The following is a 27,065-nucleotide window of genomic DNA, read 5'->3' on the forward strand; positions in this document are numbered from 1 at the left end:
CATGGTTCAGAGTGGCAAAAAAGTGGAAACAAAGTTAATGCCCATCAGTGGAGAAGAATTAAATTATGATGGCACACCCACTCTATAGGATATTATGCAACCTTTAAAGAGAATGAATTAGAGTGATGATTTCTACAAGGTATTATTTGATGATAAAAAGGAAAGTGCATTAAGAGTAATTATAAGATCCCATTTGGCTAAAAAGTAAAAACAAACCCCAAAAAGCCAAACAGAAAACAAACAAATCTGTGTAGTTGTCTATTTACTCATTGAATAACTTTGTAAATATTACTTATTTTGATCTGTTTCCTTCTTTGTAAAATTGGGGGCAATAATAGTACATATCTTAGAGGATTTTTGAGAGATTAAAGGAGCTAATACATATAAAATGTCAGGTACATAGAAGGTAACTGATGAATATTAGCTATTATTATTAGGTTGTAGACCTGAATAGAATATGCAGAATCCAATGAAAAATATGGAAGAATACATAGTAGATTGTTAACCTAGTTTTGTTTTGTGTAGAAGAGGGGCTGATGTTGAAGGGAGAAAGTTCAAGTAAATAAGGAAAATAAATGTATATTTCACATTTATGAATTTATTTTAAATTGTGGCACATGGAACTATATATAAAGAAATTAAAATATTTTTAAAAGGAAAAATCTGTTACTAGGTTTATCAAATCAATTGACCCAATAAGAAAGAATAGTACAAAATTATATACATTGAAAGACATTTACTAAAATTCAATCCCATCCCTCCTTAAGCACCTGTAAAAAAATTTTGAAAGGTGCTTATTTAAATATATAAAGGATAAATATTTAAAATCATAGCCATCATTAACTCTGATAGGGAAAGAATAGAACCAGACTTCTCATTTATGTATTTTCTGGGATGGCAATTCTGCAAGTGGAAAAAACGGATTCTTGTAAGTGCAATAATTTGGGAACATGTTGCTCACAAGTAGCCCACACCTGAGTCATGGTGAATATCAGGATGGCAGAAGTCTAAGAGGTCCTTTTCCACCTTTCGTTCTAGGTAAACTGTCACTTCCTCAGAGATGTGGGCCCAGAGACATGGACCTGTTTCTTCATACATGGACCTGTTTCTTCATATGTGTCCCCTTTTCCTCCATGCTCTGTCACATTGCTCTGTGTCCTCCCATTGCAACCATTAATTAAGGGAACACCAAGAAACACAGCGAAACTTTCTTAAGAATTTTCTCCTTATGTGCTCTAGCTGTTATTTACACTGTAGTTTCCTTGATTTAATCAGATTTCTTCATGAAAATTTTTCTTCTTAAGGACTTTTTAAAGAAGTTTACCTTTAAAAAAGCAACTTGTGTGGACATTGCAGCAGAGTCATGATGACGTCATTGCTACTGTGTGCATGGCTTGTTGAGAGGTATTGACTCATGGTGGAATTTCAGGTGTTGGTTTTTCATGCTTGCAAAAATGAGGCAGTAGTTCTTGCATCCCGCCTTTCCTGGAAGTACTTTGTGCACAATAGAATGCATTTTTACGGAGTGCTTTTCAGTTCCCCTGATGGAGTGAGTTTGACATTGGCAAGATAGCGTTATGATTGCTATCAAAGTTCAAAGACCATTTTTCTTTCTCGTGGTTAACTTTATAAGCAGCCAGTGTGGCCAAACAGCTAGGTTATCTCTTATCTTTCTTAGTGCTTTGTGTTAAGATCTGTTTAAGCCTGTGACTATTTTTTTTCCCTTTTTTGGGGGTAGGGTGGTCGGGAGAGGTTTTCAGAATTGAAAGAATTTCTTCTCTTTTTTTTCTTTCTTGTGATCACAAAATAACTGTGTTAAGCTTTATACTTGAGCAGAACTCTAGTATAGATAAAATGTGTATTTGCCCCTAATCAGTTGGGCTGAATTTCTGTGTTGTACTGCAGTGATTATAGCCACTGTCAGATTTTCTGATTACTGGCATCTCTACCAGCCACCCTTAGATAAAAAACTCCATTTGTCCTGAACCAATAAGCACAGATGGGCTATTTAACCACATTCATATATGTCTTTCTCCTCCAGGTCCTTATGAACATGGAAGACATAAAAGTTCGTGAAACACAGATTTTTGACTACAGGAAAAAAATAGCTGAATCAGAGATTAAATTAAAACAGCAACAGAACCTATATGAAGCTGTGAGATCAGACAGAAATCTGTATAGCAAAAATCTGGTTGAGGCTCAGGTAAATAATATATTTATATCCTTACATTTTGATTTATTTTTACCCTGCATTTAAAACAGTTTCTGTTATCCTAATGGCAGAATTTAGAATAGATTAAAAAAAAAACTCATGGAATTCACCTGAAAAGATCAATTTACGCAAAACTGTCAGGTTATTTGAAATGGAAATGACACATCTTAATAGGATGTGGAGATCATGGTCCTACTTTTAATTATTATGTAGAATTACTATTCTCGTCTTTCTACTTTTTTTTTTTTTTTTTTTGAGATGGAGTCTCACTCTGTCACCCAGCTGGAGTGCAGTGACGCGATCTCGGCTCACTGCAACCTCTGCCTCCTGGGTTCAAGTGATTCTCCTGCCTCAGTCTCCTGAGTAGCTGGGATTACAGGCGCATGCCACCATGCCTGGCTAATTTTTGTATTCTTAGTAGAGACAGGGTTTTCACCATGTTGGCCAGGCTGGTCTCGAACTCCTGACCTCAAGCGATCCACCTGCCTTGGCCTCCCAAAGTGCTGGGATTACAGGCATGAGCCACTGTCCCCAGCTCTCTTTCTAATTTTTAAAACTGCTAATAGCTACCATGACTCAGAGGGCAGCAGCATACTCTTGAATTCCAGAGCTTCACTTCAAAATCTTTTAGTTATATGTTTGTTGTGCTTCCAATTCCTTTTGTAAAAGGAGGAATAAGGTGTGTGCGTGTGATGTTCATTATGCATATTTTGTGTGTATCTCATGAGAATATTTTGCGAGTTAATACAATAAAGTACTTTGAGGTCGATGGGCACTAGAGACAAAGGAATAGTCTAGTTGTAATTGATCAAGAGACCATTGTTTTGAGAGAGCGTCCCTTAAAAGCTCTGAAATATATATTGAACTTCCATAGGGACGATGATGTCTAATTCACTTTCAAACATTTCTCCTTTCATTTGGTTAGGATGAAATAACAGATATGAAGAGAAAGTTAAAGATTATGATCCATCAGGTAGATGAGCTGAAAGAAGACATCTCTGCCAAAGAGTCCGCACTTGTGAAGCTGCACCTGGAACAGCAGCGAATAGAAAAGGAAAAGGAAACATTGAAGGTACTGACCTCATAGTAAAAGCAAAGTACCAACAGTTCATCAGCCCGCTCAGGCGGCCTCCAGTCTCACTGAAGGCAGCCAGGGGCAGGGAGAACAACCACGCCTGCCTGTGGTCACAGTTGCTAGTTACCCAAACCAAGCACACAAGGCACCAGGAGGATGAGCTTTACCATCTCTAGGTCAGGGCTCCTTACAGGTAGTGCTGCTAGGTAGAATGGGGGAAGGGAGCAGTGGAGATGCAAACACACCCCTTTCATTTATGCAGGCTATCATACATCAGTGGGAGAGAACCTAGCAGGTTGGCAGTGCCAAGAAATCCTTGAACTTACAAGCTTGCTACAATCCCTCTGCATTCACAACCAAGTACAACCATTGTGCTCACACCCAACCCTCCCAAACTCCTCCCTGGGATGCTTTGTACCTCTGTTTTTTACTTTGTGTGCATGTGACGTTTCTATCTGCAGTCTTATCAACTGGGTGTTAGAGCTCTGTTCTCACTTGGTTTACCCTTGACCAGGTTTGTAGTTCACTTTACCTCTGCAGGTCTAAGAACTTTGCAGCTGCTCTTCCAGGGATCATCTCTGTCTTCATATATCTTACTAAGACATACCCTTTAAAATCTACTAATTTAGATATTCTATGTCTACTAACATAAGGACCCTTTCCAAGAATACAAAGCAAATAATTATGCCATTTTAAATCCTCTAACCAAATATGTTTCACTATACACACCACTAAACCTAATGTATTTTTCTTTTTCCTATCCAGTCCAATAGATTTCCCTTCCAATCCAATTGACCAAGGATTAAAAAAGGAACTTCTAAGAAAATAATGCCACTTTTGTTATGAAAATATATGTGCAGAATACTCATGGGTGCTTAAGAGCCACTTGCAGAAACTGTTTACAACAAATTAGAGACTGGGTACCTTGCTTTCTGCACATATTAGCTTTCAAAGATAGTCACTGTCTTGAAAATTTATATCTAGTGTTGGGCAGGCTCAATGCCATATTTTCTAGATTCTAAGATACCATAGATTGAAATAGGCACTCTCAATTTAATAATGAGTTTTGTCAAGTTAATGATAGGTTTTCATGGAAATAAAATTACTACATTAAATTAACTTAAAGCTCATTTTATTTGAGAAACTGTAACAAAAGTGCATGTACAAAAAAGATATTGTAACTGATATATTTACCTGTCTCAGACATTCATCTCCCCCACTCTAGCTTATGACAGAAAAAGAATAGAAGATTCTGCATTGTTTTTTATATATAAAGAAATATACATATATTTTCTAAAACTGGAAAATGTTCTGCATCTTTGCCCTTGTACTCCCTGTTTGAAACCAGAGTTTTATAGAAAACAGTTTGTTCCACTGTGGAGCTTGTAGTGGGATAGGGTTTATTTATTGCTGAATGAATCGGAAGAAACTTATTTTAAACATTGCTTCACCCATGAGTGGTATGGACCATGTTAGCAAGGCTCAATGTAATCCATTTGGTGCATCATCTCTTTCCCTTTAAAGGATGGTGTTGGGTCTCATCTCTTACTTTCCCTAGTAATGCTCTATTCAAAAGATTAATTATTACTCCATAATGGGGTCCAAGTTGGAACTAATGTCGTTCTACAAAATCCTGCTTTAGAACAAGTGTCCTATACAAAATATCAATTATTCCTAATTCCTCAGAGTTTGACTTTAGCTAATATTTGTTTCATTTATGGCCTCTGCCATCAGGTGTCTACATAAAGCTCAAAAGAAGCATCATAATACAATAAAATACAGGGCAATAAAGTCCTGTATCATTTGGACCTGGGCCAGCAGATTTGGCAGCTGGTGAACATGAAGGATGATTAAAAGGCTTCTGCTCCAGAGACTGCTCCAAATGGAGAATCCCAGGTCTGGATGGCTTTAGGTCATCGATTATAGGAAGATGATTGCTTTGGACTTACTGTTGAACTGGGATGCCCTTTCTCCCTGCATTTCCAATGAAGGCAAGAATGAGAAGCAGAGAGAGAGGCCTGCCTGATTTATTATTTGAGTCTATCCAAGGGTGACTTGCAATGGTGCTCCGACTGGATAATTTTGGCCTATCATTAAGCTCGTTTGACATTCTCTAGAAAAATATGACAGCTCAAATGTTGAGTTTTAGCCTCTTGACTTTTTTAGCCTAAGAATGAATCACATTTCACACAGGTCCCTGGATTTCATGCATCTGAAGTCTGCCAACCAAAACCCTGAGGGAAAGGGCAGATTTTCTAGTAACTTTGCTCCAAGAGACATTTATCTCATTATTGCGAGTTGTACGAAGCTACGCGGGTACATAATCCCTCTTGGAGGGGCAAGCCTTTGCCTGCTAGGTAGCCTGTAAGATACCCTTGGACAGGACAATTCAATTTATGACTTTTCCAAGCCGATAGGCAAACGACTGTCTTTAGTAGGTCATCCTCATCTTCATTCATCCCCTTCAGCAGACAAATCTTGTCCTTCCATGTTTCTTTTACTTTTTCTGTTGCTACCAGGCTCCACTGATGCCTGAGGATCCTGTACACTGTCAGCACATTATGGTTGTGACAGGATGTCAGTAGTTCTCTGCAGATGTTGCTGTGTCTGCATTCATCTGCCCATTGTGTCCCAGGCTTGTTTCATCAGCACTGAAGGAACCATCTCATTTGGAGTTACTGCCTTCCAGTCCTAACAAGCCCCTGCTTCTATCTTGTCTCTTTCCAATCATCCTACATGTATCTGATAGCACTTTGATTCTTGGTGAATAATTCAGCAGCAAATTCTCTGTGTCTAGAGCTCAGCACCACATTAGAGCCTGGCTTCAGGGCACCATATTCTTTTACTCAGTGGACTCTGTAGCCTGCCATGGATAGGGAGCTGTTATCCATGAGAGAGAGAGAGAGAGAGAGAGAGAGAGAGAGAGAGAGAGAGAGAGAGAGAGAGAGAGAGAGAGAGAGAAAGAGAGAGAGAGAAAGAAAGAGAAAGAGAGAGAGAGCCTAATTATTCTCATGGCTAGAAGACTTCAGGTGGTACTATTTGTTTTGCTAGATTTAAACAGATGATTTCTATGAAACTCGTGTTGAGATCATGTATGAATGGGAGAAATTCTACAAGTATGACTCTTGAGATATGATTTATGCCCATAGCCAAATCTGGTTACAGATAATCCATAATGCCTTTTGCAAAATTGTATAATTGTGGAAGCAGTGAGTAAAGGCTGTGTCCCGCCATCTCATTATAACTTTTTACCACCAGTAACACTTGGATAGGTGCAGAAACCTCAGGTCCCACCTAGGGCGTTGCTTGATGAGCTTTTGAATGCATAGTGGTTGTTGCCATCCTTCCTGGGTGAGATGGCTCAGTTTTATAACTGCTAAATGCATTAGACCCAAGGTATTTTGTTGATGTTAACATTTTCTGCCAATGTCTAATGCCACATCTTGTTTACAGCCCATAAATTTATGACATAAGGAGACCACTCAGAATTTTGATATATTATGAAAAAAGTACCCAGCAATGCCAAATGCACGAGTGGTTTTACATTTCAGACAGATACTTTTACACACTGTTGATTGCATTTGAATATAACAGGGGTTTCATTTTGTTCTGCTGATGGATTCTGATCAGCTCTTGGCACTTAAGAACAGGGAAGTGAATGTTGCACATCTGGGAAAATAAAAGTTTTATTAAAGAAAGCATGAGCCAAACAGGTATTTTATTGCTGTCTTTGCTGTCACCTTAAATGATTATAGAAACAGAAAGGCTGGTTCTTTGTTCTCTTTCCTAACAGACAATCCCCCCAAGTGGTAAATACTAGATGAGATCTTTTCTCAATAAGTATTTCCTTTTGCTTATCCCTAGACCAAAACATATTTCATGAATGAACAAACAAAATGTCATAAAAGAAACCCTTTGTTTTATAGTACCTGGTTGCATTCAGTTTGTGATGTTACACATCTGTTACAAGGTACACAGTATCTTTTACTGTTTGGATAAGTCTGAGGTGTAGAATTAATGACTTTTGGTTTTCATGGGGCAGAGACAGACCGTAACTAAAGTTGGGTTGGTTCAAAGGCACTTAAAAGTATGAGGTTTCCATCATCTTGGTGTCATTTCTGGGTAGGCGGGGGTCCAAATATTGACTTGAAGGAAAAAATTATTACTCTTTTACTGACATTTGCCAACTTGCAAGCCACTGACAAGTTGAAACCTTAATATTATCTTGTCATCTCCGTTGTGATTCCAGCATGGGGGAAAGCAGAGCTCTTCCTCCACATTTGCTTCTTTTTGTTCTGACCTGGTCTGTGATATCCATCATGCATCCCAGTTGGGCATGGAACCTCTCAAAGGCATATTCTTCTTTCCTGTAACGTATGTAACTTTGGTTCCCCCACTGCATGCCCTATATAGTGCATGGCACACAAGGCCTTTCCCTGTCTGGCTTAGCTGTTTGTGAGCCTTACCTCCAGCTATTCCCTACCTAACTCTCTAATTCAGCCATACTGGCTGTTCCACTGTCTGGTGAACACACCAGGTACTTTATAGTTTGCATGCCTTTGTTCCCAAAAGCCTGACTGTTGAATGCCCTGCTCTAACACATACCCTTCCATGTTGGCAATATCTGTCAACTGCCAGTGACCTGACTGGTTCTTCCCTCTAAACCCCAGGCAGAAATATAAACTCCTTTATGTGTACACACATGTCCTTTTCACATAGGTAGATAGCATTTTCACACTTGTTGGTTATCCATCATCTTCAATGGATGGCGAATCCCTCAAGTCTTGCTTATCTTCTATATTTAATTTGGAACTCTTGGGTGGTGACAATAGAAGGAGCACAGGCTTTGGAATCAAAAGATCTGGGTTGGAATCTCAATCTGCTATTTAATAGCTCCATGACCTTGGGCAAGTTGCTTGCTTTTGTCTCTGTAATTGCATTAAATGGAGACAGGAGTAGTTACGCAAATGCCTAGTATCATGCCTGGGATATGGTAGGTCACAAACAAACTTGTGGAATAGAAATGAACATGCACTTTGATGAGACAAAAATTGTCCTGCTGAAACTTAACAGTCCATAGCACCCTTTCTCCATAATTCCTGTGATTTTCATATAAACTTAGGGGCCAGATTCAGGTCTGAGCTCTCTGAGAAAGCAGTCCTGCTACCCCCAGTCTAATGATGATTTTTTCTTTGACCTCCCATAATATCGATTCACTGTCTGTGTGATAATCAAGACGCTGAAAAATTATTGCCTGGACTTCTTAATATTTGCATAATATTTGTCTATCTTATCCTCTCATCTGGGTTGGAAGTGCCATAGAAGTAGGATCTATATATCTTTTTATAAATGACATCCCTTCTGTTTCATCAGGATGTTTTACAAGATAGACAGTTATTATCTTTGACTAGTTTAATTTTGCTTACAAAGGGCTTTACCTTTGCAGTTCGTGTGCTGGTGGTGGTAGGGCCATTACAGGAGCTGGTACACACAGAGGCCTCCCCTGTCCTCACCCCCACATCCTGCTCTGCACTATTCTTTGTGAATTCTCCTGGTGTTTAGCTGGTAAGAGATGAAGTGCTGCTGAATACCAATGAAGCCCCTGCTACACATATATAGAAAAATGATAGAAATCCCTCAAGGGCACAACTCAGAATAAACATGATGACTGTAATGTGCATTGCTATTTCTTTATGAGTGTGTGTGTGTGTGTGTGTGTGTGTTGTAAGCTTGTTTTGCTTGTGAGAGTGATCAAACTGTGTTAAATGAAACATCAGAGGAAAGAGTAAGAAGCACAACTGTACATCTGAATCCGGGCCCTGTCGTCCTGGTTTGTGCTGTAACGAATTGAAATTTGCCTGTATCTTCCACTCTTTGTCAGGCTGAGCTGCAGAAGCTGAGACAACAAGCCCTGGAGACAAAACACTTTATTGAAAAGCAAGAAGCTGAAGAGAGAAAACTCCTGCGAATAATTGCTGAGGCTGACGGGGAGAGGTTGAGACAGAAGAAGGAATTAGACCAGGTAGAGCATCTCCTTGTCAGACTTGCAGACCTTGTCAACAGACACGGGTATTTAATTCCACCCTTCGAAACTTCCTTCCTCTCTAAGCTCTTCCAACCAGCCCTATTGGAAGAACAGCAGCAGAGACCCATCTTGTGTTGATTAATTATGAAATATTCACTCCTTTATTTGACTTATGAGCACTTCCCACGCCTTAGTCACTCCTCTAGGCACTAGGGACACGTTGGCCACCAAGACAATAAGGTTCATCCTCAAGGAGCTTGCATTCTAGTATAATACAGTTGCTCACATATAATTGCAATTAATAATTACATGATTTGATCTTGACTGGGTGTTCACATGTATGTGTAAGATATGCCTCCCTCAAACCTTATCACGATGTCGGCACATTACCCATCCAACATGAAAAAAATAAAAAACAATTTGGGAGATAGAAACCCAAATGCATAATTTGGGGGTTAGAAATTTAACTGCTCTGAGGGACCTGGCAGAGAGAAGTTGGTCAGTGCAAGACAGAAGGAAGTAGTGGAACTTGGCAAGAGCTAGCCCACCATGAAGTCATTCAGATTTGAACATTTATAAATATAATGGGTTTGGAAATAAACAAAACGATACACACATGGGCTACAGATTATTAGATGATTGGACTATTATTATTATTTTTGAGACAGAGTCTCTCTCTGTCACCCAGGCTGGAGTGTGGTGGTACCATCTTGGCTCACTACAACCTTCTCCTCCCAGGCTCCAGTGATCCTCCCACCTCAGCTTCCCAAGTAGCTGGGACTACAGACATGTGCCACTGCACCTGGCTAATTTTTATATTTTTAGTAGAGATGGGGTTTCATCATGTTGGCCAGGCTGCTCGCGAACTCCTGGCCTCAAGTGATCTGCCTGCCTTGGCCTCCCAAAGTGCTGGGATTACATGCATGAGCCACTGTACCCAGCCTTGGACTACTATTATTAATATTATTAAGGATTATCTGTTGTGTGGTGTTTTCAAAAACTCTAATGGGAGGGGTCCAGTGTTGATTGTCTAGCCAGCTCTTTCCAGTGCCCAGCCCATGTGGTGCCCAGTACATGTGGGCGTTCAATAGATACTCATTGAATGAATGGTGCTGTCACAGTGAAAAGCTAAGGCTCCTCCTTCCCTGGTGACTATGCCCCTCCCTACCTTCCTAGGTCATCAGTGAGAGAGATATCCTGGGGTCTCAGCTTGTTCGGCGCAATGATGAGTTAGCTTTGCTCTATGAGAAGATCAAGATCCAACAGTCTGTGCTGAATAAAGGGGAGAGCCAGTACAACCAGAGGTTGGAGGACATGAGAATCCTCAGACTTGAGATCAAGAAGCTTCGCCGGGAAAAGGGGATTCTTGCCAGGAGTATGGCTAATGTTGAAGAACTCAGGTAATAGATTATAGAACTCAGGGCTGAAGGCACAGTGCAACGTGGGGAGCTCCTAAAATCACTTCGTAGTCATGCTTGTTGCTCATTGAAGGTCTTTATCGAGTTGTACAAAATGAAGTTTACAGGATGAAATTATTAACAAATAATAAGAGCAGCTTTTCCATAACATCTCCATTGTGCCCATGCTGTGTCACAATAATGAACCAGCTTCCTTTCGGGGGGGTAAGGGCGAGTGCAAAAAGGTTTTTAAAAAACCGCATTCTGCATTTTACAAAAGAATTTTCAAGGAAATTAGTTACAATTCAGAAATTTTTTCCCCCAATGAGCTTTCTTGAATTTCTTTAATAAGTCAGTATGCAAGAGAGGGAGCATCAATATTGAAATTTAATCTGGTAACATTTGCACATCTTTTTCTTGGAATTATATACAGGAAGAAAAGAGGTGGAAAATATAATTTTACCACTACTTGAAAACTTCGTTTCCTTAGAAGGCGGCCAAATTTTGTATCTCACTTTTGATTTATCTTCTGCAGCTTTCACTTTAGCTTAGTGCGCCTTCTTCTTTCTTTAAATCTTGCATTACACAAGATCTACTTTCCCTTTGGGAAAACGTCACCATGTTTTATATAGGCAATTGCAGGAAACCAAATAAGAGTTCTGGTATTTTCTCAGTAGCTATCCTTATTCCCCACAGACTTGTAGATGAACAGTATCCTTGACCATCTTGGAATAAGGACATGGTTTGGATCTGCTTCTCAAATCAATTGGGTTAGAAGATAGTTTGGATATTTAAATGCAATGAATATATGCAGGAATAGCGAGGTTGCCACTATCAAGGATAAATCAATACTTTTTCTTTTTTTTTTTCTTTTGGAGTTGCTTGTATTTCAGATGACGAAAGCAGTACAAATTCATTGTAGAAAATGTGAGAAATGCAGAAAAAATATAAAGAAGGGATTAGAAAATCACTCATAACTTTACTACCCAGAGATACCACCACTGACATTTTGGAGACAAATGGATTCATTCTAAGTAGCTATCGAATAGTCTCCAAACCATCACTAAACTTGTCAGCCATGAGTTATTTTTATTACATACACAAAGGACCACATTTTATCCATTCCCATTCAGTATTGCTAGTTTGTTGTTAATATATTTTATTTTTCTTTTCAATGGGAAGACAACTTAATAAATGTTGGAGGTAAGCTAGTATGAATTCCAATCTGTCTGGCTACCTACAAGCTGTGTGACCTTGGGCAAGTCACTGACCTTCCCTGAGCTTTGGACTTGGTGTCACAATTAAACAGGAAAACAAATCAATGTGCCTAGTATAGAGTCTAGTACAAAGCAGGCCGTCAAATACGGTAGCTAATATTTCTGCCCTCCCCTTCTGATGACATTCTAGAAAATTGAAGTGTTAAAAATATGCTTTTAATTCTAAGCAGCTTGCTCTGAGCGCCCTGTTGAGTGAACATCATGCAGTTAATTCTAATGGTTTGTCTTGCTAATGAGGGGAAGTTGTATTATTGGTTTAAATGAATCGATTAAGTAAAAGAGATGGCTTAGTATTAGTAATCTGCACCCCTGCAGCAGGCGAGGACAGGTAATAATATCCTTATTGCCCATGTCAATGCAAGTGCTTGCTTCTTCTCTGCCTCCCAATGTCTCATTCGATAGGGCGACAGCCAGCTCGCAACACTGAGGATGGCTGTCACATATTACCTATCAACTACAGATTTCTGAAGATTTTAGCGGTGTGTTTCAGCCAGAGCTAGTTATTCAGGACTTTTTTAGCCATCTGTGTGGTTGTGGAACTCAGGATAAAATCTCATTACAACTTCTAACTTGGATTTCTCAATCCGGACTGCATGTGAGAATTGCCAAGACCTCTGAAGCCGGGGACCCATGCTAGACTATTAAACAGAATCCCTGTAAGGATTGGGTCCAGGAGAAGAGGTATTTTTCAAAGCTCCCCAGGGGATTTCAATGTGTAGTGAGGGTAGAGACGTATGCCCTAACTAGTGTTAGGTTATCACCTGAGCCTCAATATATTGCTGTCAGGTGCTGAGTTTGTGGACTGTAGCCTGTTCACTTATTACCACTATAGAGACATTCAGAAACATTAAACAGTATATTGAAACTGTCATAATTCACTGCTGAAATGGTCTGACTCTGTGTCCCCACCCACATCTCACCTTGAATTGTAATAATCCCCACGTGTCATGGGTGGGGTCCAGGTGGAGATAATTGAACCATAGGGGTAGTTTCCCCCATGCTGTTCTCATTGTAGTGATGTAGTGAATAAGTCTCACGAGATCTGATGGTTTTTATAACTGGGAGTTCCCCTAGAGAAGCTCTCTTGCCTGCCACGATGTAAGATGTTCCTTTGCTCTCCCTTTGTCTTCCTCCATGATTGTGAGGCCTCTCCAGCCATGTGGAACTGTGAGTCCATTAAACCTCTTTCCTTTATAAATTACCCAGTCTTGGGTATGTCTTTATTAGCAGTGTGAGAAAAGACTAATACAATCCCCCTGCCCTTTGTTCTTTTCGTATACTTATAAATTTATTGAGTATCCAGAACCATGACTCTGACTCTGAAGCCCTGGCACTTTTTTTTTTTTTTTTTTGAAAGCTAAGCCAATTCTTGAGCTCTGCAAGAATTAATATCATCTTGCCCAGAATTAGGAGGCTGGTCCCTGTGTTCACAATATTCTCCCTAACTCCAACTTTTTATATAAGACATAGTGTGTATGCAACTAATTAAAGATAGATAGGATATTCAAACGGGTGGATAATTCTTTGCAAAATCAAGTTTGTCTTATTCAGACAGGAGTTTTTTCACATGCAAAGAGAATTGTTGAAGGAGAGGACACGCTGCCGAGCCCTGGAGGAGGAGCTGGAGAATCCCCTGAATGTGCACAGATGGAGGAAGCTCGAGGTAACATCTGGCAGCGTGTTCTCCCCATCCCCAAATCTCTCCTCCTATCCCACGCGAAGCTTCTAACCTAAAGCACAATGAGAAGCGAGGTTTTATTTAATGCTATGCAAATTGTCACCTAAAATGTAAGGCTGTATCTGATGTAAATTGAGTTTTCTCAGAACCAGATGGTTCATTTGGGTTTTGTTTTAAAAGTCTTGCACAAAATTCTTTCTACCTAAAGAAAGCCCAGTGAAAGCTGTGAACCTGCCTCACCAATTGACATTTATTTTTCTGGCTTGGGTAGGTTTTGGTTAACCAGTTATCCTAAGGCTGCCTGTTAGTCTTGGATGTTCGTGGCCTTTAATGATATTGGTCACCAGCATCTCCACCATCTTTCAATTGATCTTTGCATCCTTTTATTACTTACAGAAAATACGGTTTTGTGAACTGCCCTCTTTTTGAAAGCATTGCGTTAGCCAAGCCCTTTCTCTTAGAATCTGGGGACACAGCTAAAGTCCCATTGGTAGGGGATGGATAATCAACTTCATATTTAATTTAATTCTATGACTTTCTGATAGTCATTACCACCAGCACTGAAAATGACAGTTAAAGACAAACTCTTGCTTATTCAAGAAAAAGCCATCTCTTTAGTTGTAACTAGCAATGTGGATGCTAAAAGGGCCTTCGACTAAATGAATGATCAGGGTATTGGGAGATGTAAGTATGTCATATAAGATAAAGCAGGGCAGGTATAAGAAAGAAAATCAGCCAGGGAGATTTTTGTTTTTGTTTTTCTTTTTTTTTTGAGATGGAGTCTCGCTCTGTCACCCAGGCTGGAGTGCAGTGGCGTGATCTCGGCTCACTGCAAGCTCTGCCTCCCGGGTTCACGCCATTCTCCTGCCTCAGCCTCCCAAGTAGCTGGGACTACAGGCGTCCACCACCATGCCCGGCTAATTTTTTGTATTTTTAGCAGAGACACGGTTTCACCGTGGTCTCAATCTCCTGACCTCGTGATCCGCCCACCTCAGCCTCCCAAAGTGCTGGGATTACAGGCGTGAGCCACCACGCCCAGGCTTTGTTTTTCATTTTAATTTTTTTTCTTTAAGAATGGAAAAGACAATATGTATTTTACATAGGGACCTGTAAGAGAGGAAAAAACAAAAATTCCTTTATTTTTGTTTTTACTTTTTATTTTTTCCTTATAAGAAAGAAAATCAGCCAGGTAGATTCTTGTTTTCCATTTTTATTTTTTCCTTTTAATGAAGAAAGCATTAAGGATAATGCATTATAAATTGTTATGTAAACATGAGGCCTGAATTTTAACAGCGTCCAACCCTGCCGGGTGAATGTGTGCCAAATCTAGTCCCAATAGATGGATATCAGTTGGCACTGCTTAGTATTTCTTAAGCAAAGTCAGAGTCAATAGCATCTCTCTTTTTCTTTTCTCTTTTGGACCCTCATTCCTTCCTCTTCAAATGCCAAGAGTGGTGTAGTTTACTAACCCAATAGTAATATGGATATGTCTGCAGAAGTGGAGATGAAGATTTTAAATTCATTTACTGTCACATTAGTTTATTCCATGTGTTTTCATGCAGATCTTTAAAGTTTCCAATTCCACATCAATTTCTGTTAGAAAAATTAGAAAATAGAGACTCTGGGAGGCAGTTGAAAATATTTAGCTGTTAGATTAATTCAAAATGTCAGTACAGTTGAAAGTGAAGCCTTGGCTGAAAGTGTAGAGGACACATTACCAATTTATAACTGTATATCTTGTTTGAATTGTACACAACTAGTGAAGGAACATCAAAGCTTTGTGGATTGATAATTCCATTTCAGAGCTAAATGCCATGGTAGTGTTCTGCTGCCAATAATTAGCAGAAGTCCACATCCTGGAAGCGGTCCCCATCATAGACTGCAGTGAATCTTCCTGTTGACAATTACCAAAGGAGAATCCTAAGGCTGAGTGAATTAGGGAGCCCTGCTTCATTCCATTCAAGAATTCTAGGGGCTGGGCACAGTGGCTCACACCTGTAATCCCAGCACTTTGGGAGGCCAAGGTGGGAGGATTGCCTGAGCCCAGGAGTAAACCTGGGCAGTCTAGTGAGACCCTGTCTTCACAAAAAAATTAACCAGGTGTGGTGGCATGTGCCTGTGGTCCCAGCTGCTTGGAGACTGAGGCAGGAGGATTGCTCGATCCCCCAGAGTTCAAGGCTGCAGTGAGCCATGATCGCACCACTGCACTCCAGCCTGGGCAACAGAGTGAGACCCTGTCTCAAACAACAACAACAAAAAGAATTCTGGAAAATTAAGTAAACAGAGGAGATGGTAGGGTAAGCCTCAGAGCATAGGAATTGAGAACTATGCCTTTGGAGCTTGGCATATTTGGGCGTGATTCCGGCTCTGAGCCTTGCCAGTCTGGGTAAATGACTTAGTTTCTCTCAGCCTCAGTTGTCCTATCAGTATAAAAGGAGAAGACATACTGTCTCCTAGGGCTGTCCTGCAGCTAAAGTATAATGTTGTATAAAAAGCACTTAGCATAGTATCTGGATGGTGGCAAAGAATCATATATCAAGCATAGTAGCTACCATTATTGTTATTACCACTGGTGGAATAAACATATTTACTTTGTATTCATAGAATAACTAATGCCATAGAAAAAACACTAGGAAAACTGCAGTCTGCCTTTTTGGGGACAGGAATTTATGATTTTCTCATCTATTATACTTTATTTTTGGTTCTAATTCTCTCTGTATTAGGTCTGCAGGTTTGCAACAGATTTTAATAAGACAATGTGCATTTTACATAGAGGCCTCAGTGCTTTGAAGCTGATGATATCTCAGCTGCTATTGTTGTTCCCCTTGGACAGGCCAGCGACCCCAATGCATATGAGCTGATACAGAAAATTCACACCCTGCAGAAGCGTCTCATCAGCAAGACTGAAGAGGTGGTTGAAAAAGAGCTGCTCCTCCAGGTAGCATTTTTGTTTTCTGTACTCATTGTACAAGTCCTTAGCACCACCATCTCCAGGACTACGTTCTTAGAATTAGTTATTTGGCAGCATTGCATGTCCTGTATTTAACTGTAGATGGCAACAGTGACTTACACATAAAGAACAAGCACAGCCTGATTAATTGGTCTTTTACGTTGCGATCACTGATATTTCAAGAATTCTGGAAAATTAAGTTCAAGGCTAGACTTACTGCAATGGGTAATGTGAGCAACCCCCATCCCACTTCTCTACAGTTTTATTTATCAGATTCTTTTAAACATTTTTCTTCATATCTTCATATAATGCAAAATGCTGTGATTTTGATTTTGAAAATAAGCTTTCTCATAGAGCACAAATGATCTGTTCACATGAAGATTTATGTGAGTGAAATGGAAGAAGAGATTTCTTTTTGAGGATTTTATGCAGTAAATTGTTCTGTAGCAATTAGGCCTATATCTTTGCAAGGGCCAGCTGTCATCATCATCACCATCTTCCTCACTGCCATCATCATCATCATCATCATCACTTACTGCATGCCAGATATGCTGGTGGCTTTACCTACTTGGTCCCATTTCCTCTTTGCAGTTCAGGAAGCAGGTGTGGTCATCCCCAGCTGATGACCGAGGAAGTCAGCGCCCACGAGTTTAGTGTGGATGAGAATGTCAGCTCTTGAAGTTAGATGGCTTGGTTTGGAATACTGCCAGTTGCTATGTCAGTTTAACTTCATTGCACCTGATGTTCTTAGTCTGTATTATGGGACAATAACAGAACCTGTGAAAATGGATATTGTGAGGATGGAAAGGGTTTAGTATTATCCATGGTAACATGGTGTCTAATAAATATTAGCAATTATTCATGTTACTTTGGATTCCAAAACCCATAATTAATTAATTAATTAATTTTTTGAGACAGTCTTGCTCTGTTGCCCAGGCTGGAGTGCAGTGGCGCCATCTCGGTTCACTGCAGCCTCTGCCTCCCAGGTTCAAGTGATTCTCCTGCCTCAGCCTCCCAAGTAGCTGGGGTTACAGGTGTGTGCCACCATGCCTGGCTAATTTTTGTATTTTTAGTAGAGATGGGGTTTCACCATGTTGGCCAGGTTGGTCTCAAACTCCTGACCCCAAGTATCTGCCTGCCTTGGCCTCCCAAAGTGCTGGGATTACAGGCGTGAGCCACTGTGCCCAGCCCCAAAGCCCATAATTTTAATCACTAGGTTAATATTAGTAGGAGTAGGAACTTCTATATATGAGTAAGGGACATTTGCTCCTTCTGTTTTACAGTCTACCTTAAGAAAGATATTTACCCTAAAGTTGGGTATACAGTAAATAGCCTTCCAGAATATCATGACACTGAATGGCCAACAGGGATTTTCCTCTTCTCTTGTAGATTACTGTGTGGTTGAGGGAGTAGACTTTGGAGTCCAGAAAGATCTGGTCTTAAATCAGTTTCAATCCTTGATCATTTCGTGACTTTAAGAGAATTACATACATTGTACAAATCTCAGTTTTCCCATCTGTAAAATGGGGATAATAATACGTGTTTTTTATAATGGGAGGAGGATACTCTAATCAGAGTACATAGTTTGGATGTCTTGTAAGGATAACCAATTAGTACGTGGCACTGGGCTTTGACAGTCCAGAGTTTGCTGTTCCACTGATGCTGGCCACAAGTCATTTCCCAAGTCTGTGCAGCTGGTTAAGTGCTAGGGTGGGACTTGGTCCCGGCAGTCACTCCAGAGCTCATGCTTTCTACTTCCTTGTGTGTTCTGTTATCACCACTTTGTTAGTTTTAAAAAGAACCAAATCTTATGTTTGCCAAGCATCTGTATTATAAGTTTGTTTTATATTTCATGGACTGCTCTAACTTTATTATTTCCTTCCCTCTATATACTCTGGGTTTACTGGGTTCTTCTACCTTTTTAAGGTTAATGCTCAGCTCATCAATGTTCAGTCTTCTCTTCTAATATAAATATTTCAGTTATAAAATGTCTTTTAAATAATTTATTTAGGGTTGGGTGCAGTGGATCATGCCTATAATCCCAGCGCGTTGGGAGGCCAAGTGGGGGTGGATTGCTTGAGCTCAGGAGTTTGAGACCAGCCTAGATAACATGGCAAAACCTTATCTCTACAAAGAATACAAATATTAGCCAGGCGTGGGGGCGTGCACGTTTAGTCCCCACTACTCAGGAGGCTGAGGTGGGAGAATTGCTTGAGCCCATGAATTCGAGGCTGTGGTGAGCTGTGATTGTGCCACTGCACTTCAGCCTAGGTGACAGTGTGAGACCCCGTCTCATAAAAAAAAAAATTATTTAGTTCCTTTCCACAGGTTTTGATATGGGGAATTTTCATTTAGTCCTAAATGTTGTATATTTTCAGAATTATTTCTCCTTTGACAGTAAGTCTTAATAAATATTCACTATTTCTCCTAATCATAATTAGGAGATATTTTATAATATTTTAGGATAATTAAAAGTGTATTTTAAATTTTCCAAATATATATGTATTTAAGTTATCTTTTACTTACTGATTGGTCACTTTTCTGCATTGTTGTCTGTATTATACAGATTCTTTGGAATTTGTTGAACTTGATTTGTGACCAACTAAGTGGTCAGTTTTTATACCTGACGCCTGCTGTTTGAAAAACATACATACTCTCTAAATGCTCTGGGTTCAGTGTTCTCTGTTTGTTCGTTAGATCAACCTTGTTAATTGTATTGTCCACATCTGTACTTTTCCTAATTTTCTGTCTGCTTAATCACTGAAAAAAGTTTGGAGATTTGTCTTATTTCTCCTTCTCTCTGACATTTTTCGCTTTAAGAACATTTTAGATCATGATAAGGTGAGTATAAGATTATAATTTTTATTTCTTCCTGCTTGAATTGCTCCTTTCGTATTATGTAAGAACTCTCGTAATAATATTTTTACTTACAAATTTGCCTAGTATTAACATAGCTCAATCAGCTGGATTTTGAAAAGTAGTTTTCCTATATTTTTACTTTTAAACTTTTGGTGTCTTTGTACTTTAGGAATATCTCTTGTAATTAAAAAAAAATCTTATCTTTGTGTTTAGTTTGTTTATTGATAATTTTAGGTTTATTTCTACCTTCTTATTTTCCCTGATTTTTTGTAATGCTCAAAAAAATTCTATCAGACTGAGTTTTCTTTATGTTCTGTTTTCCTGTTTACCAGTCTTCCCACTAACCATTACTACCTATTCCCTTTTTACAGTTTTTCTTTTACTCAACAGTTACCACCACTCAGTATAATATTCTCTCTCTGTCTCTGATTCCCTTAAATACATTATCTTAATTCTTTGTTTTTCTCTTTCATAGATTCCCTTAAAAATTCACCATGCATAGTTGACATCAAATCTAAAGTCTAAAGTTGATCAATATCTTTCTCCTTCTTACAAACAGTGTAAGGATTTGGAATGCTTTAACTGCAGCTACCCTGCTGTTTCCAAAATCAGCCATCACCACTATTATGTTATAGAGTCAATTTGTTAAGATTTACCAACATGTTTACCAGTTCTTTTGTTTTCTATTTCTACATATCTCCAATTCCTTACTTCTGGGTTCTGTCTCTTCCTTTTTGAAGTATATCCTTTCATAGTTCTTTAACCAATAGATTTTTCAATGGTTAACACTCTCCTTTGCTTGTCTAAAAATGTTTTTAATTTGGCCTTATTTGTAAATGATTAACTTGAAATGTTATTTCTATTAGCACTTTGAAGATGTTGGTCCTTTGTGTCCCCAGCTTCCAGTGATGTGACTGAGAAGTCTGCTGTACGTCTAATTGTTTCTGCTCCTTTTTAGGTGACCTGCCTTTTCTTCTGTTTGATAGTTAGATCTTCTCTTTGCCTTTGATGTTTCAGAGTTTCAGCACAACGCATTTGGGTATTAATTTAGTTTTGCTTACTATGTTCAGAACACACTCCATTTCCTGAATCTGAGGGTTCCTGTGTCTTCGAATAGTCTCTTCTTTAGTGTCTTTATTCACTCCTCCTGGAACTCTTATTAGAAGTACGTTGGGTTTTCTTATTCTTTTTTCCTATTTACTGACCTAGTTGATGTTTTTCTTCTCTTTAACTCTTTGTTACATTTTCTTAGCTTTATCTCTATTTATTTATTTATTCATTTATTTATTTTTTGAGATGGAGTCTCACTGTGTCACCCAGGCTGGAATGCAGTGGTGCAATCTTGGCGCACTGCAACCTCCGCTTCCCAGGTTCAAGCGATTCTCCTGCCTCAGCCTCCTGAGTAGCTGGGATTACAGGCATCCACCACAACGCCCAGCTAATTTTTGTATTTTTAGTAGAGACGGGGTTTCATCCTGTTGGCCAGGCTGGTCTCGAACTCCTGACCTCAAGTGATCTGCTGGCCTTGGCCTCCCAAAGTGTTAATCTTAATCTTCTTGTTCACCAGTTCTTTCAGTGTGCTTATCTGCTAATAGTCAATCCACTGAGATTTTATTTTCAATTATTTTATTTTTATTTTATAGAGACTCTTTTTCACATATGCCTGGTTTTTGTTGATAGTTTCTTGATCTTTTCTCATGTTTTACATCCTTCCTTTATGTCCCCAATTAATTCAAAAATTTATTTTATAGTCTTAATCTGAGTGTTCTATTATTGAAGTTCTCGAGGGGTTTTCCTGTTTGTTGTGACTGCTGACTTTCACTCATGGTGGATTTTTCTTTTTGTGTTTTGTGATTTTGGATTGTGAACTCATTTTCAGAAAGCCTTTATTTGGGGACTTGGGAATGGTTCAGGTTAAGGGTATGTCCATTCATTTGTTTCTGCCAGGTGCCTTAGAAGGTATCATTTGCTTAGAATAATTTTTTTTTAATGTTAAATTCTCACTTTGGGTTTCTTGGACTACTTGGCTAACATATACTAGAACCTCAAACTCTTGTGACAGAAGATGAATGGATACAAATTCTTAGGGAAGCAACTTTTTTTTTTTTCCCCCACCCAGAGCCCAGGAGAGATAGTTAGGTTTCCTTGTGGTCTTCCTGTCCCAGTGGGTAGATTTCTATTGTATCTTTTTGCCAAGGGTGAAACTTTTAAAAGTCACTAACTTTATGCTGAGGAATCTTAGTACTAACACCCACTTCACACAGGCCCAGCACCTTATCCTTTGCCTTCTTGTGGCCACTAAAATCCAGGCCCTTTGTTCAGCTATCCCTCAGGGGAGAGCTGCAATATATATCTATTCACTGTTCTAACATGCAGTTCAGGCTTTGATTTTGACACTTGAGCAAACTAATTGAAAATTCTGTTTTGTGATTAAAACTCATGCTGAATTGTTTTACTCAGCATGTCTAATGCTTTGTGGACATTAGTTTTCATGTTATTTAGTCTGACATATTGCCATAAACAGAAATCTCTTATTTGCTTGACTCACTAGTTTCTTCATCCATAAGTTGGGGACAATAATAGTACCCATAGAATTGTGTTAGTTCACATAAAAGTTTAATAGAATTCTTAGTTCTCATTAACAATGTTATTAATAATAGTATTATTATTAATATCATTAATTACCAGCACAGTTTTTCCAGGCCTCCAAAGTTTAATGTCCTGTCTCAATCCCTTTTAATCAATTCCTTATTTAGCGTTTGGAATGGTTGGGCTCTCCTGTGCCTGCTGTGATTTTTCTCAGCAGCTTGTATAACCCCAGACAACAAGCCTTGTTATCTTGCTGAAGCCCCAAGTGTTCCATAGGATTTGACAGTTTCTCAATTTCATCTTTTAAAACTAAAATATTAGAGAAGTTCTCTGTACTCACAATAGAATATTTTGCAATTAGGAAGACTTTGGGTTGAATTCTTCTGAGTATCACAGCAATTTTTAAATAACTGTTTAATCTGTTATGTGGTGATAGACAGACCCCATCATTTCCAAGCAGCAGGTACGATGGAAGCCTATGTTCAAGCCCCACTCGCCTGTGAACTCTTTGAGGAGGGGCGCTTCCCAGTTCTCCTCTCTAATCCCAGTGCCTGATACAGTACTGGGCACACAGATGCTCATTATAGACGGACTGGCTCTCTGCCTGGGCAACTCCTGCCTACCCTTTAGGTCTTAGCTTAAATATTTTTTCCTTAGGAAAGCCCCTTTTCCTAGGTTAGGTGTCTTGGTACACGTTCCCGTAACTTAACTTCTTCCTTATACCACTCATCACACTTGTAATTAATGAAATAGTTGTAATTAATATGTAATGGCTCTTTCCTGTTAGACTATAAGCTTCGCAAAGGAGTTCTGGTGTCTGTCTTGTTGATCATCACATCCCTAATTTCTCATCCACAAATATTTGTCTAGCAACTTATTAAAGGTTGAAAGATTTGTGGTCCTTCAGAAAGTGGTATGTTGCACAGTCATTTAAGTTCGTCTTCGAGCTCTGAGAGGTGGCCTTTGCGTTTTTTTATTGACTTCTGACTTTTCAGGAGTCTGGAATTTACTGTGGGTTTATGGATCTGTAAACTTGATGCAACCTGTCAGTGTCCTTTTTGTTTGTGGAGGCAGGCTGATTCATGCGGGTCTGTCAAAGTTCTTCCCTTGCTTGGGATTAACGTGAAAATGGTTCTTGAGACTAACTTTATAGCTTCAGTGGTAAGATGGAGAAGTCTGTATTCTTGCCAGAATTGGAATCTAAGGTATGAACAGGAAGGATTTCTTTTCTTCTGCTCACCAAGCTACTCTCCCCTTCAGAGAAGCAGGGGCAATGGAAACGTACCTGAAGTGTACCTCCTGGTGGCCTCTCCTTGCTGTTGTTGCTTCATTTGTTCCTCCTCTCATCTGAATCCTTCAGGATTAATGACTTCTTTTTTCTTTAAAGGCATCTGTGGGATGAGGCAGGTCTATATGCCTTGAGTAACTGCTATCCATTACCTGGGTATCATTACATCATCATCATCATCATCATCATCATCATCATCATCATCATCAAGATGGCATTTCTAATAATGGGCATAAGGCATGATAGCATTGGCATCATCATCATCATCAAGATGGCATTTCTAATAATGGGCATAAGGCATGATAGCATTGGAGTAGGAAGCTCTAACCTCTTGCTAGAGGCATTTAAAACATGATGAACACTCAGAGCTACTCAAATGGTTTCTTCCAAATGCTTAAATATGGGGTAACAAGTTCAAATGCACTTAACCTCATGGCCAGGCATGTAACAAGAAAAGAGTGAGGTGGATTTTGCATGCCATGATCAGAAACAGCAACTGGTAGGCGCCTCATAGTCAGAGGCCAAAGGGAGTGGTGGGGATTGCAGCACGTGGTGGGCTATGGGCCCCAGTCCTAGGAAGTATCCCTAGGAAGCAGCTAATCCCACCCCAGCTAATGGCAGGCTGATTTGTCAAATCTTTAATTTTTAAAGAGCTGGAAATGCAGATTTTTATGTTCAATATACTGAATTTTAAACATTGACAGTCTTAAACACACTGTATGGGACTCCCAGAAACAAGTTTGCCAACCATCCTTGGCCCACAAGTGGATAGTTTACAACCTCTAGCTTCAAGGCTTGGGGGAGAAGGAGACGTAAAGAAACAGCAGCCACACAGTCGGCTTTACTAGTTTTGATTTCTTTAATCTTGTTCTTTGTTGTGATTCCTTGATAGATGTGCAGAGCCCAAGAATCAAAAGGGAAAGAGGGAGGGAGGAGAAGGTTCAGGCTGTAGGTGCTATGCAGCAGCAATCAGAGGTGAGCAAGGCTGTGTTCTTCTAAGGTTGTGAACAGAGAGGCAGAGAAGCAGGGGCTGTGTTCTGTGGGGCAGGGTGGGTGGGCTTCAGGGAAGATGGGCTTTCTTAAGATGCCTTTTGTCTTGCCGCTAATAACTCTTAATTTAATTTTTATTTTTATTTTTATTTTTTTGAGACGGATTCTTGCTCTGTCACCCAGGCTGGAGTGCAGTGGCGCAATCTCGGCTCACTGCAAGCTCCGCCTCCCGGGTTCACGCCATTCTCCTGCCTCAGCCTCCCGAGTAGCTGGGACTACAGGCGCCTGCCACCGCGCCCGGCTAATTTTTTTTGTATTTTTTGGTAGAGACGGGGTTTCACCGAATTTTATTTTATAAACTCTTCGAAAACAGAAAAGGTCTTCTCTGAATTGTTAAAAAGACCAAGGGTTGTCTCTGAACACTCCCCACGCCCGTGAATGGGCAGCAGGAATACCTTGTGTTGCCGGCCTGCCCACCGCAGTCACTGAGCGCCCGGAATTCCGGGGTCAATGACACAGACCTCGTCCCAGCCTTGAAGGACCTCTTAGCTCTGCAACCACAGGGCAGTGTACCAAGGGCTGTGATACTGTACAGGATGCTATGGGACTCTAAGCAAGGCTCTGGAGTGGGCAGGTGTCTCAGTTTGGGTCTCTTCAAATCAGACACTGAGACAGAGATTTGGGGTCTGGGCATTTGGGAGGCAGTTGCAGGAAGCTGGAGTCGGGGAGCAGGAAAGTGAGATGGGGAGGGAGGAAAAGCCAGTGGGTGGAGGGGGAGGGAGCGGGTCATCCCATGGGCGTTTGAGCTCTAGTACCGCTGGGATTCCTCTGAGGAATCACACAGGAAAGCGGGTAAAATTGTCCATCAGAGGAAAGAGGACTGGGCATTTGTTCAATGACTCCCATTCCCCACTGGTTGATTGTTGCCCTGGGGACATTGAGCTGCTTCCAAAGGCAGACTGAGGGGGATCCCTGGCCTGAGGCGGAAACGCTGACACCCATGCGCCTGAGGTGTAAGCTGCTAGAGCATTCTGGGAACTGTGGGCCCTCGCAGTGTACCAGGCATGTCAGCTCAAAATCATGAAATTTAGGATGGGCTGTGAGGAGGAGGCTCAGGGCACCAAAAATACCTGTTACGTGAGATCAGGTCTCCTGGCAGGTCCTGGGGACTACCAACCAGGTAGATCCCTTTACTCACTCAGTGATTCACCTAAGGTATGCATTGCCAATCTGACTTTAGAAAAGGAGGGGCATTTTCCCAACCAAGTTCCCATTAGGCCTTCCTCTATTCTATCTGCCCGCTGCCATTTCAGTTACCTGCCAGGAACCAGATGACATGATGATACTGTATGTAGTTCACACCCTGAGTGTGTTCTAATGACAGCCATCCTTTGAGTGCTTACTGTATGCTAGGCACTGTGCTTTCCCTATGCACAGGCAGCAGCGTATGGTGGTGAGTACACAATGACTGTTAGCTTGCCAGATGGTGGGGGTGAAATGATGCGTGCTGTACCTGGGACTCATTTTGGGGAAAGGAAACAAACTTGACCTCCTAGACTGATAGAACTGGATCATCCTGCCCAGAAAATTTTATTAAAACGATGAGAATACTGAGGCATTTTCCCTTCATGTGTGGAAGTAGTGATGTATTACTAGAAGGGTTAATTACGTTCGGGGGGTTTTGATGAGTGGAAGCACACTACCTAATGAACAGTGACACGGAAATGGTTCAGGTGAGAAAACTGCCTTGGTGGAGTTCAAGTTCGTGTTGCTTTAGGAAATTGTCACATGCATTCTTTTACATTCACCTAGAGGCCTAGGTAAGGGGCATATCCCTCAGATAAATAAATCATGAACTGAACTGGAAATCACTGCTTCTTTGCTGGCATCTGAGCCCTGCCCTTTCAAGGTGAACTTTCTCTATAATTTAATTTTATGACTGACTGGATGGAAGTCTGGTTTATTTAACTGTAAAATGGCTTGAATGATAGGAGGGTTTGAATGGATCTGCACGAGTTATTAGCTGTGCAGAGGGAACAAACCTCATATAGCTCATTTTTAGATAATTCTTTCATAAGGGCTTTCAATTTTCTTGATCTCCTGATTATCTTACATTTGTTTAATATTTACACTGTGTTAAACATTGCTCTAAATGCTTGTATAGGTATTATCTCATTTAATTGTCACAACAACCCCAGAAGAGCACACCAGTCCCCTTTACAGACAAGGGAACACGTAGGCCAGGAAAGCTGAGTCTTTCTACTAGGGCCACATAATGGGTACCTGGTGGAGCATTGAGTCTTATCTTAGAACTCTGCTTCCAAAGGCTCTTCCACAGCATGTGGTGTAAGAACACTGTGGTCATTGAATTTATCATGTATAGATTGCCTTGGTCATTCATGGAGAAACTTCACCTTTCTCACTGCATCTTGAGCCTTGCTACTCCAAGCATGGACTCCAGTGGCACTGGCATCTCTGAGAGCTCTTTAGAAATGCAGGATCCCTGGACCCCCTGAGGCTTAATGAATAAGAATCTGCATTTTAAGCAGATCCCCAGGGATTCAGATTACTGGTTCAGTCTGAGAAACACTCATGCTCTAGAAGTTGGTTTCTTTCGTGGTAGATCTTCATGCTTCAGAGCAACAGCTGTGGTGCTGGTGGGCCCAGGATGGAACCCCACACCTCCTGGTGACCAGGCATGGGCCTGGCCTTGTTGCTTAACCTT

At 40.3% G+C, this 27,065-nt stretch overlaps 1 protein-coding gene and 1 pseudogene across 3 annotated transcripts in view; both read left to right on the forward strand.

The window, feature by feature from the left end:
• CFAP58 (cilia and flagella associated protein 58) overlaps positions 1 to 27,065 on the forward strand; it is a 116,583-nt gene that overhangs the window by 51,672 nt on the left and 37,846 nt on the right. For all 3 annotated transcript variants that reach the window (NM_001400226.1, NM_001400227.1, NM_001008723.2), the window contains 6 exons: positions 2,042 to 2,203; positions 3,138 to 3,284; positions 9,169 to 9,309; positions 10,489 to 10,712; positions 13,538 to 13,649; positions 16,498 to 16,602. In NM_001400226.1, the coding sequence (NP_001387155.1) occupies positions 2,042 to 2,203; positions 3,138 to 3,284; positions 9,169 to 9,309; positions 10,489 to 10,712; positions 13,538 to 13,649; positions 16,498 to 16,602 (891 nt within the window). The remainder of the gene's footprint in view (positions 1 to 2,041; positions 2,204 to 3,137; positions 3,285 to 9,168; positions 9,310 to 10,488; positions 10,713 to 13,537; positions 13,650 to 16,497; positions 16,603 to 27,065) is intronic.
• LOC124902590 (uncharacterized) lies at positions 9,599 to 9,712 on the forward strand (annotated as a pseudogene).

Source organism: Homo sapiens, chromosome 10 (genome assembly GCF_000001405.40).
Source record: "Homo sapiens chromosome 10, GRCh38.p14 Primary Assembly".
NCBI classification, from domain to species: domain Eukaryota; kingdom Metazoa; phylum Chordata; class Mammalia; order Primates; family Hominidae; genus Homo; species Homo sapiens.